The 9,872-nt window shown below is 48.3% G+C and overlaps 19 annotated features.

The window, feature by feature from the left end:
• Window positions 5,011–7,620: a meiotic recombination region, noted in NCBI's record as "MSMT1b hotspot, crossovers mapped in sperm cells of males of European and African ancestries; recombination frequencies vary amongst individuals, but is a hotspot in many individuals". NCBI's record gives the evidence for it as "EXISTENCE:DNA detection assay evidence [ECO:0005519][PMID:20818382, PMID:16543360]".
• Window positions 5,011–9,872: part of a biological region, named in NCBI's record as "meiotic recombination hotspot MSTM1", that runs on past the window's edge.
• Window positions 5,369–5,381: a nucleotide motif, noted in NCBI's record as "nucleotide motif; similarity, but not exact identity (7/8 nucleotides), to the predicted 13-mer PRDM9 A binding motif (LD hotspot motif), CCNCCNTNNCCNC". NCBI's record gives the evidence for it as "COORDINATES:motif similarity evidence [ECO:0000028][PMID:20818382, PMID:19165926]".
• Window positions 5,409–5,421: a nucleotide motif, noted in NCBI's record as "nucleotide motif; similarity, but not exact identity (7/8 nucleotides), to the predicted 13-mer PRDM9 A binding motif (LD hotspot motif), CCNCCNTNNCCNC". NCBI's record gives the evidence for it as "COORDINATES:motif similarity evidence [ECO:0000028][PMID:20818382, PMID:19165926]".
• Window positions 5,504–5,516: a nucleotide motif, noted in NCBI's record as "nucleotide motif; similarity, but not exact identity (7/8 nucleotides), to the predicted 13-mer PRDM9 A binding motif (LD hotspot motif), CCNCCNTNNCCNC". NCBI's record gives the evidence for it as "COORDINATES:motif similarity evidence [ECO:0000028][PMID:20818382, PMID:19165926]".
• Window positions 5,730–5,742: a nucleotide motif, noted in NCBI's record as "nucleotide motif; similarity, but not exact identity (7/8 nucleotides), to the predicted 13-mer PRDM9 A binding motif (LD hotspot motif), CCNCCNTNNCCNC". NCBI's record gives the evidence for it as "COORDINATES:motif similarity evidence [ECO:0000028][PMID:20818382, PMID:19165926]".
• Window positions 5,833–5,845: a nucleotide motif, noted in NCBI's record as "nucleotide motif; similarity, but not exact identity (7/8 nucleotides), to the predicted 13-mer PRDM9 A binding motif (LD hotspot motif), CCNCCNTNNCCNC". NCBI's record gives the evidence for it as "COORDINATES:motif similarity evidence [ECO:0000028][PMID:20818382, PMID:19165926]".
• Window positions 6,034–6,046: a nucleotide motif, noted in NCBI's record as "nucleotide motif; similarity, but not exact identity (7/8 nucleotides), to the predicted 13-mer PRDM9 A binding motif (LD hotspot motif), CCNCCNTNNCCNC". NCBI's record gives the evidence for it as "COORDINATES:motif similarity evidence [ECO:0000028][PMID:20818382, PMID:19165926]".
• Window positions 6,167–6,179: a nucleotide motif, noted in NCBI's record as "nucleotide motif; similarity, but not exact identity (7/8 nucleotides), to the predicted 13-mer PRDM9 A binding motif (LD hotspot motif), CCNCCNTNNCCNC". NCBI's record gives the evidence for it as "COORDINATES:motif similarity evidence [ECO:0000028][PMID:20818382, PMID:19165926]".
• Window positions 6,268–6,280: a nucleotide motif, noted in NCBI's record as "nucleotide motif; similarity, but not exact identity (7/8 nucleotides), to the predicted 13-mer PRDM9 A binding motif (LD hotspot motif), CCNCCNTNNCCNC". NCBI's record gives the evidence for it as "COORDINATES:motif similarity evidence [ECO:0000028][PMID:20818382, PMID:19165926]".
• Window positions 6,275–6,290: a nucleotide motif, noted in NCBI's record as "nucleotide motif; similarity to the predicted 16-mer PRDM9 C-type binding motif, CCNCNNTNNNCNTNNC".
• Window positions 6,422–6,541: an enhancer, noted in NCBI's record as "active region_2813". NCBI's record gives its function as "activates an Ori minimal core promoter by ATAC-STARR-seq in GM12878 lymphoblastoid cells {active_cell/tissue: GM12878}" and the evidence as "EXISTENCE:reporter gene assay evidence [ECO:0000049][PMID:35858748]".
• Window positions 6,954–6,966: a nucleotide motif, noted in NCBI's record as "nucleotide motif; similarity, but not exact identity (7/8 nucleotides), to the predicted 13-mer PRDM9 A binding motif (LD hotspot motif), CCNCCNTNNCCNC". NCBI's record gives the evidence for it as "COORDINATES:motif similarity evidence [ECO:0000028][PMID:20818382, PMID:19165926]".
• Window positions 7,669–8,470: a meiotic recombination region, noted in NCBI's record as "this region was identified as a recombination hotspot within the HapMap CEU population". NCBI's record gives the evidence for it as "EXISTENCE:nucleotide sequencing assay evidence [ECO:0000219][PMID:20981099]".
• Window positions 7,862–9,872: part of a meiotic recombination region, noted in NCBI's record as "this region was identified as a recombination hotspot within the HapMap YRI population", that runs on past the window's edge. NCBI's record gives the evidence for it as "EXISTENCE:nucleotide sequencing assay evidence [ECO:0000219][PMID:20981099]".
• Window positions 8,063–9,262: a meiotic recombination region, noted in NCBI's record as "MSMT1a hotspot, crossovers mapped in sperm cells of males of European and African ancestries; recombination frequencies vary with PRDM9 genotypes, with some individuals showing little activity at this hotspot". NCBI's record gives the evidence for it as "EXISTENCE:DNA detection assay evidence [ECO:0005519][PMID:20818382, PMID:16543360]".
• Window positions 8,400–8,412: a nucleotide motif, noted in NCBI's record as "nucleotide motif; similarity, but not exact identity (7/8 nucleotides), to the predicted 13-mer PRDM9 A binding motif (LD hotspot motif), CCNCCNTNNCCNC". NCBI's record gives the evidence for it as "COORDINATES:motif similarity evidence [ECO:0000028][PMID:20818382, PMID:19165926]".
• Window positions 8,858–8,870: a nucleotide motif, noted in NCBI's record as "nucleotide motif; similarity, but not exact identity (7/8 nucleotides), to the predicted 13-mer PRDM9 A binding motif (LD hotspot motif), CCNCCNTNNCCNC". NCBI's record gives the evidence for it as "COORDINATES:motif similarity evidence [ECO:0000028][PMID:20818382, PMID:19165926]".
• Window positions 9,536–9,548: a nucleotide motif, noted in NCBI's record as "nucleotide motif; similarity, but not exact identity (7/8 nucleotides), to the predicted 13-mer PRDM9 A binding motif (LD hotspot motif), CCNCCNTNNCCNC". NCBI's record gives the evidence for it as "COORDINATES:motif similarity evidence [ECO:0000028][PMID:20818382, PMID:19165926]".

Below are 9,872 nucleotides of genomic sequence, written 5' to 3'. Positions count from 1 at the left end.
GGGCAGCAAGGCCAAGGGCCAGTGAGCAGCCAGTTCTGTTCTGCTCCAGTAAGTGCTGCTCGAGTAATGACATTTTAACTCTGACCTGCTGTGAAGGTTGGATCTTGGTCTGGATCCTTCTTGACTCCACAACAGCAAGCTGTAAAAGAGTCAATGCTGGCCGAGCGTGGTGGCTCACACCTGTAATCCCTGCATTTTGGGAGGCCGAGGCCAGCGGATTACTTGAGGTCAGGATTCGAGACCAGCTTGGCCAACTGGCAAAACCCTGTCTCTACTAAAAATACAAAAAATTGGCCGAGTGTGGTGGTGCATGCCTGTAATCCCAGCTACTCAGGAGGCTGAACCCAGGAGGCTGAGGTTGCAGTGAGCTGAGATCATGCCACTGCACTCCAGCCTGGGCGACAGAGAGAGACTCCACCTCAAAAAAAAAAAATTGATGTTGGACAGTGGTTGGCATTTCTGTGAGCACCCACAGGACTCCTGGGAGCTGAGGGACTGACGAGCCACCATGGGCTGGGAGCACATAGACCTCGCCAGCTGGTTGAAAGCAGCACACGTGCTGGGCACTGTGGCAAGTGCTGAGACTATGGAGATGATTATGACACAGGCCTAGGTCTCGAAAAGTCTGCCATGCAAAAGACTACCAGGGTGGCTCGGCGGTAGAAAGGAGAGCTTTGGGCTGGGCGCGGTGGCTCACGCCTGCAATCCCAGCGCTTTGGGAGGCTAAGGCCCGCAGACCACCTGAGGTCAGGAATTGGAGACCAGCCTGGCCAACGTGACGAAACCCCGTCTCTCCTAAAAATACAAAACTTAGCCAGGCATGGTGGCAGGCACCTGTAGTCCCAGCTACTTGGGAGGCTGAGGCAGGAGAATTGCTTGAACCTGGGAGGTGGAGGTTGCAGTGAGCCAAGATTGAGCCACTACACTCCAGCCTGGGCGACAAGAGAAAGACTGCATCCAAAAAAAGAAAGAAAAAGAAAGAAAGGAGAGCTTTGTTGGTTGATATTAGTTTGCAAACCAGGAAGAGATGGTCTCCAGCTTGGACTGAAAGTGCTTGCTCTTCAAAGAGGGAGAGGGCAGGATGGGTGTTACACGGTAGAGTCTGTGTTACAAAGTAGAGTCCGCATATTCAGCAAGTTTAGGGCAAAATCAATACATATTTATGAGGGGCACTCAGTGTGCAATAGGTAAACACATATGTTTACCATGTTCACTTTGTGGGGGGCCTAGATTAAAATGAGGTGGAATTTGGCTCTTTATGTCAAAGGTAACCTAGAGGACACAGACAGTTTGTGTGCAGTCTCTAAGTCACATTGGAACTGGCTGGAGGTGTGCAGTTGCTTATCAGGAAAGAGCGTTTGTAAGATGGTCCTCTGTCCAATGAAAGTTTTAGTGGTCTGGGTTGTAAATCAGAGTTAGGATAATTTGCTTGCTAGCTCCTGTTGTTAGGGAGTTTAGCAAGAGTGTGGTTTTTCCTGTAGGAATTTAAGAAGTTGCCATGCCAGCCAAACTTTGAACCCTCGACCTGTTAATAACTTTTGGCTCCTTAACCTTAGGATCTGTCTTAGTTGATAAAGGAGTGTCTATTTTGGTGTTTTGTTTTGTTTTGTATTGTTTTGCTTTTGAGACAGGGTCTTGCCCTGTCACCCATGCTGGACTGCAGTGGCACAATCATGGCTCACTGCAGCTTCGACCTCCTGGGTTCAAGTGATCCTCCTACATCAGCCTACATCAGACTAGAGGTGTGCACCATCACATTTGGCTTGTGTGTGTGTGTGTGTGCGTGTGTGTGTGTGTGTGTGTGTGTGTGTGTGTGGTCTCCCTATGTTGCTCAGGCTGGTCTTGAATTCCTAGGCTCAAGGGATGCTCTCACCTTGGCTTCCCAAAGTGCTGGGATTACAGGCATGAGCCATCACACCTGGCCAGGGGTGTCTATTTTGGTCTCTCAGATCATAACCTAAGACAGACACACACCCACCCTTGTGATATGTGCTTAAATAACCATCGGCAAACTGTGCCAGGGAAGCCCACAGGAGGGAGCCCCAGGCTCTTGGTGAGAACCTGAGCAACTGTCACCATCATCAGAAGAAGTGGTCTGGTTGGTGTCAGCAGATGCTGCTCAGCATAGACATCCACTCTGCTTAGAGGCTTGTCCCAGAGGCCCAGAGGTGAGAGAGGACATGAGTGGCCCTGCAGTGCCCTGCACTACTACAGGAGTGAGAGGCCAGAGCCCCGGCAGGAACCATTGACCAAGAGTAGCTGAACATCAGGATCTGACTCCATAGAGACTATATTAGTCAAGACCCCCTGAGCTGCAAACGTCATAAACCATATCTCATTTACTTCAGCAAGAAAGGAAGGAGGGTTAGCCAAGGAATTAAAGCCCAGGCTGGCCTGAGACGTGCCAGAACCACGTGGAATCTCTGGCAGATGCCTGCTTCCCCACAACCCCCAAATGGGGGCTTCTCTCTCTGGCAGGGCTGTGGCTGCTGCAGCCCTGCGTGCATTTTCAAAGACCTGCCAGGGGAACAGGTCTGTGGCTCATACCTGTAATCCCAGCACTTTGTGAGGCTGAGGTGGGAGGATTGCTTGAGGTCGGGAATCTGATACCATCCTGGGCAACATAGCAAGACCTTCATCTCTGCAAAAGATCAAAAAAATTAGCTAGCATGGTAATGTGCACCTCCAGTCCCAGTTAATCAGGAGGCTTAGGCAGGAGGATCACTTGAGCTCAGGAATTCGAGGCTGCAGTGAGCTGTAATGGTACCATTGCACTCCAACCTGGGTGACAGGGTGAGACCCCAGCGCTTAACAACAACAGAAGAGTAGTCAGGAAGGCAGCTTCCATCCCCAGGCATAGCTGGAGAATTCCTGGGGAGAGGGTCAAGGGGCTCACCTTAGGGTGAAGCCTCCTTCACCCCCTTCTGCATGGAAACTCCTTGACAGGTGGTTGGTTCAGCCTATGCCCTTGTAGCAGCACAGGGCTTGGCTCTAAACAATCAAGACAACTTCTCTAGTTGAACATATTTGAGAAAAGCAGGGCTAGGCAAGGTGTGCTAGTCGGCTTGAGCTGCCATGACAAAGTGCCACAGACTGGGAGGCTTGAATGACACAAATCTCCAGTTCTGGAAGCTGAAAGTTGGAGGCCAAGGCGTTGGCAGGGCTGGTTTCTCCTGATGCCACTCTCCTTGGTCACAGACAGCCTCCCTCCCCTGGGTCCTCACATGGGCTTCCCTCTGTGTGTGTCAGTATCCTAATCTCCACTTCTCATCAGGACCAGTCATATCCGATTAGGACCCACACTAATGGCCTCATTTTACCTTAATTACCTCCTTCTATTTGGAGAGAAGGCCCTCTCTCCAAATACAGTCACATTCTGGGTACTGCGGGTTAGAGCTTCAACATGTGAATTCCGGGGGAAGTACCCAGCCTGTGACACAAGGCTCACCAGGTCATCTGAGGTGAGTGGTGGCGGAAGGGAAGATTGCCTGTGATCATCATTCCTGCTGCTCATTGGCTTCTCTCTCTGTGCCAGGCTCTGTTCTATGTACTTTTCATGCAGTCAGGAAGTAACTCCTATTATCCTTGTAACGACCAATGAACTGACACTTCCCAGGAAGAGCAAAACAAAACAAGGCCCAAGTATCCGGATTGGTCTTGGACTGGAACAGGAAAGATGCAGGCAGATGATGGTTCACTGGAGTAGGCCCTGTTCAGCGTGTGCTTTCATCCGTCTGTAACACACATTGCAAACTCACCTTGTTGCTTGTCCAATGTGTTGGTTTCAAGATCATTAGTTAATCAAATCCACCAACAGATTTACTAAATGTACTGAATTTACTAAAGATTTACCTGGTGTTGGGCATGGAGCAAGACAGTTGGAAAGCTTGCAAGGGTAAGACATGATCCTGTAGGGGAAGTGCTTTCATGGTTACTTGTAGGCAGATATAGAAACTCTGGAAAATAGAAAGAGTGAATAATACTGAGTATTTGATCACACACTGAGGACTGTGGTCCATAATGGTTTAATTGTATATTTTAAAATGGCAGCCAGGCGCAGTGGCTCACGTCTGTAATCCCAGCAGTTTGGGAGGCCGAGGCGGGTGGATCACCCAAGGTCAGGAGTTCGAGACCAGTCTGGCTAACGTGGCAAAACCCCGTCTCTACTAAAAATACAAAAATTAGCCAGGCATAGTGGCGGGCGCCTGTAGTCCCAGCTACTCGACAGGCTTAGGCAGGAGAATTGCTGGAATCCGGGAGGCAGAGTTTGCAGTGAGCCGAGATAGGGCCACTGCACTCCAGCCTGGGCAACAGAGCAAGACTCCATCTCAGAAAATAAAGTAAAATAAAATAAAAAAAAAAAATAAACTCTGGAATGCTATGAATAAAACCAATAGTAATGGTTAAGGGTGGGACCTGGGGAGGTGTGGACAGAGGAGCAAGGGAACGTTGTCACTGTATGCATTTTGTATATTTTTATTTTTTTGAGTTGTTTATCTACTTGGCCTGTTCACAAAAATTATGTTGAGAGGGACAGAGAGACAGAGTGTTTGTCAGACATGAGCCCCTCCTCAAGGGGCTTATAACTAGTCACGTTGGCATTAGGCCTTGGCTTTAACAACACAGCAAGGCTAAAATGATTTCACTTTCTCCAGGCAAGAGCCTATGAGAGTAAATGGGACTAGAACCATGATCCTTACTTTGCAAGTAAAGAACTGAGGTCAAGAGAGAGCATGTGGATACGACCCCATGGTGAGTCGGGGTTCACGCCTGAACACAGGGAAAAGTCCCTGATTCATCATTTGAAACCCTCTTCACTGCGTATGTGGTTGGCCCTTTGAGAAGTTGATGGAAGTTTCTGTTAAAGTCATTCAAAGAATATGTTTTGAGTCAAAATGCCCATGGTCCCTGGCCTCTTGGGGTTCACATTTTAGTGGAGAAAATAAGGTAGATACTCAAATGAGCCTATGAGTACACGTTGTAGTAAGTCCGATGAAGAGGAAAAAGAGATGCTACGAGGAGGAATAGCCAGGGACAACACTTGGGCTTGGGTGGTCAGGGGAAGCTCTGGCTCATTGACATTCAGCTGAGATCCACCGAGCTACGAGAGGGCTGTTGAGGTGTGGACAGGACTGTAAAAGGGAAGGGTCATTCCTTGAGCCCAAAGCCTGTGGTCTTCTAATACAATGTCATTCGTGGGTTCCCTGTTGGCTCATCAGCTACCAAGCTTGGTACCAGGCAATTTGGGATAGGATGAAAACAAAGTCGAAAACATGCTCTTTGACCCCAAAAAACTTACCTCCTAATTGGAGAAGTGAAAATAACCCAGAAACAACCACAGAGTGCTTTAGAGAGTCATGGGATATGGCCGGGCATGGTGGCTCACGCCTGTAATCCCAGCATTTTGGGAGGCTGAGGCGGGTGGATCACCTGAGGTCAGGAGTTCAAGACCACCCTGGGCAACATGGTGAAACCCCATCTCTACTAATAATACAAAAATTAGCTGGGCATGGTGGCGCGTGCCTGTAATCCCAGCTACTCGGGAGGCTGAGGCAGGAGAATCGCTTGAACCCGGGAGGCAGAGGCTGTGGTGAGCCGAGGTCGTGCCGCTGCACTCCAGCCTGGGCAACAACAGCAAACTCCATCTCCAAAACAACAACAACAAAAAAGAGTCTTGGGTTAGGGGAGGAAAGAAGGAGAGATGCAACCAGGTGTGATTGATTTAGCAGGTGGAAAAGTGGGGAAGGCCTACCAGGCAGAGAATCGAGGTGGGTAGACTAGTCTCGTGGAGACAGACCATGGTCCTGGAGTCATTGATGTTGAATCCCAGCTCCTCCGTGTGCCCGCTGGGTGACACTGGGCAAGTTATTTTTTCTGTCCAAACTTCAGTCTTCTAATCTGGAAATCAAGTTATGTTTTCTACTTCTTATGTGGCTGCAAACATTAAATGAAGTAAGATGAATGTAGGATTTTGGAGAACGAAATGCCTGTGGCCCACAGCTGCCTACGATGTAGGGGTGGCACATCTCCCGGGGGGCGAAGCTGGGTGAATTTCCAGTGTCAGCTGCAACCACCAGCTCAGCCTCCTGCTTAGTAACCATCTTTACGACTACAGACAGCAGTCCTCATCTCTGCCCCCTAATTAGCAGTCCTAACTAAGTGATAGGTGGGTTTGGTGGAAACCACACACAACTACCGAGGAAACCAGCTGGGTTTGTCAAAGGAAACCAATCTCCCTGTCCCTCTCCGTGCCCCTCTCTGTTCCCCTCTCCCTCCCCACTTCTCTTCCCTTTCCTTCTCTGCAGTGACCTAGGATCTCACTCAGTACAGCCGGCTTTCAAAGAACTCTAGGCAGAATCGCTCTCTCCTCGATGAGTCAAATCTAAGGCCATTTATCTCAACCCGTAACGTGAAAATAGTGAAAATCAAGAGTGAAACAGAAGTTGTTTCCTCTCGAGAATCAAGAGTGAAACGAAAGTTATATTTCCTCTAGAGAATCAAGAGTGAAATGGAAGTTGTTTCCTCTAGAGAAGCCCCTTGAATAACTTGGACATTTCTATCAGCAACCGTCTTCTAGAATCAGGTCACAATCAAGGGTGAGGGGAGAAGTCTGTGATTCCCAGCACCATGAGAGGATGCAGCCACCACTTTGATACCTTGGAAAATGTGGATCAGTTTAATCTGAAAAATGTTGAACAATCTTCAAACACAGATGTCCCCACTTTCTGGATTTTCGGGTTGAAAGAGATGGAAAATACTCCTTTGTTTTACACCTGAAGGCTGCTGGGCCTTCTGAGATCTGCTAGTCAGCGGCAGATGTAGAAAAAACCAGGACTCAAGTTTTCTGATGCAGAGATGTCTTTCAGCCGCACCGCTCTGCCTGTGTCTCGGTCTGGTGTGGGCTCATCTAAAGCAGCAAGCTCTCGTAGACTGTGATCCGGAGGCGGGAAGCATCCCCCTCTCCACCCTCCTTAAAATGCCTCCCCCTAAGAAGTCTTTCTACTCCAGTCCAGGATTACAACACTTACTTTATTTCCTTTATTTTCTTAGGACCATGCAGAGACTGCGTACATTTCCTCTAAGGCTTTGTCACCCCGTGAGGTCCCTCAGTAGAAAGGATGTTTACATAGTGGGAAGGGTCAGAACTTTCCAAGACCTGATGTCCAGTCCTTACTCTGCCCCTTACTGATTTTCACTCCATCGAGACAATGATCTCTTTTCTAGAGCAGCGCACATTTATTTATTCATTGTCCAAATATAAGGTACACTAAGCACTGAGACATAAAGAGGACAAGCAAGACCTCCCCGACGCCCCTACCCCTGCTTCCAGGACCTTGCTCTGTTGTGGAGACAGATGGGCACACGGGCAACTACATCATATGTTCTAGGATAAAGCGACCATGTATGCAGAGACAGGGAGGCATGAGGCAGCCTGGGCTTCCAGCACTGGGACTGCAGACGGTTCTACTGCAGACTGTAAAGGGGTGGAGTGGGATGGGGATATTGTTAGAGGTCACCAGGGGCCAGATGACAAGGGACATCCTATATCTAACTAAAGAGGTTAGATGTTATCATGTCAGCTCAGGCCGCCCTTGTAGACTTGAGGGCAGGATCACACTTTCCTGGTAGAAAGATCGTAGTTGTCTAATTAGCAAGGCCAGAGGCAGGCAAACCAGGCAAGTGCTTATTGAAACGTTGCAGGGAGTGAGGATGAGTTCCTGAGGCAGGAGAAGGAGAAGCCTGAAGAAAAGAACCTGCTTGAGTCCAGGAGTTCGAGACCAGCCTGGGCAACATAGCGAGACCCTGTCTCTATCTAAAAAATAAAATAAAATAAAAAGGGGAGACTAATTTAAAAACATGAAAAGAGGCCGGGTGGTAGCTCACGCCTGTAATCCCAGCTACTTGAGAGGCTGAGGCAGGAAAATCGCTTGAGCCAGGGAGGTGGAGGTTGCAGTGAGCCGAGATCACGCCATTGCACTCCAGCCTGGGTGACAGAGCGAGACTCCGTCTCAAAACATAAAAACATGAAAAGGGGCCAGGCACAGTGGCTTACGCCTGTAATCCCAGCACTTTGGGAGGCCGAGGCCCGCAGATCAACTGAGGTCAGGAGTTCAAGGCCAGCCTGGCCAATGTGGTGAAACCCCATCTCTTACTAAAAATACAAAAATTTAGCCTGGCGGGTTGGTGAGCGCTTGTAATCCCAGCTACTCGGGAGACTGAGGCAGGAGAATTACTTGAACCAGGGAGGTGGAGGTTGCAGTGAGCCGAGACCTACCCCTTACTGATTTTCACTCCATTGAGACAATGATCTCTTTTCTAGAGCAGCGCACATTTATTTATTCATTGTCCAAATATAAGGTACACTAAGCACTGAGACATAAAGAGGACAAGCAAGACCTCCCCCACGCCCCCGACCTCTGCTTCCAGGACCTTGCTCTGTTGTGGAGACAGATGGGCACACAGGCAGCTACATCATAAGTTCTAGGATAAAGCAACTGCTGTCCAGCCTAGGAAACAGAGCGAGACTCCGTCTCAAAACAACAAAAAGAAACAAAACAATCAAACAGAAAAACATGAAAAGAAAAGGACAAGAAAACACCCAAGAATTAGTAGTAGGAAACTCAAGACAGAGAGTATTATGGAAACCTGGGGAGGAGATAATTTCTAAGAGAGATTGGAAAACAAGATTGTCAAATGCTGCAGACCAGAAACAAGACAAGACCAGGAAGCAGCCCATGAAACTCAGCCCCCAGGAGGCCTTTGACAGCCTGAAGGGAGTCAGTTCCAGGACAGCCACGGGCAAAAGCCAGAGTGCAAGTGTTAAAGAGAAAACACAAAAGCAAGGTAAGGAAGAAAGCCTCAGTTTCCTCACCTGACGATGAGGACGGCAATAAAATGTTATGAGACTATGGATTCAAAAGCTTCAAAAGCTTACCCACGGATGATTAAGAAGTTCCGGAGCTGGATGGTGGTGACAGTTGCAACGACATCGTGAAGGGACTTAAAGGCACTGGATTTTACACTTAAAATGATTTAAATAATACATTTTGCCTTATGTATATCACCCCACTGAATTGTACACTTAAAATGATTTAAATGATACATTTTGTCTTATGTATATTTTACTGCAATTTTTAAAGGGGAAGAAAAGCTTACAGAAAATGGCAGTGTTCTGTGCAGGTGTTGTTTATTTATTTAGAAGGCTAAGAAGGAGAGCTCGTGCTGAAAGCTTGGGAGAGGTAAGGGGCTGAATGATCAGGAGTTTCAGGTGTGGGGAAAGCGCAGAGGAAAGGAGGCCACACCCCGCTCAGGTAACAGGTCCAGGCTGATCCCTGATAGGTGTCGTAAGATATCAGAGTCAGAACTGACTGTGGCCCCGCAATCGAAGTGTCTTATTTTGCCAGGGAGGCTAAAGGGAGAAGGGGAGGCAGCGACTTCTCAGAAGCAGCACCGCCATCCTCACCTAGGTATAGGGTCCTCTGAGGACCAAATGAGAAACTGCTTGTGAAAACCCTGGGTGAAATACTGCATACTAGAGGATCAGGAGGTAGACTACCATCAGCGTCCCCCGACCTTACAATGTTGCATTGTAGTAATTAATACAATATGAAATCATTTTTATGTTATTGAGAAGAATTTGGAAAATATAGAAAACCATGGAATAAAATTAAAAATAATCATTGTTGGCCAGGCGCAATGGCTCACACCTGTAATCCCAGCACTTTGGGAGGCCGAGGTGGGCGGATCATGAGGTCTAGGAGTTTGAGACCAGCCTGGCCAATATGGTGAAACCCCGTCTCTACTAAAAATACAAAAATTACCCGGACGAGGTGGCTCGTGCCTGAAGTCCCAGCTACTCGGGAGGCTGAAGC

This window comes from Homo sapiens, chromosome 1 (genome assembly GCF_000001405.40).
Source record: "Homo sapiens chromosome 1, GRCh38.p14 Primary Assembly".
Taxonomy (NCBI): domain Eukaryota; kingdom Metazoa; phylum Chordata; class Mammalia; order Primates; family Hominidae; genus Homo; species Homo sapiens.
This window is presented reverse-complemented; position numbering and strand designations above follow the sequence as displayed.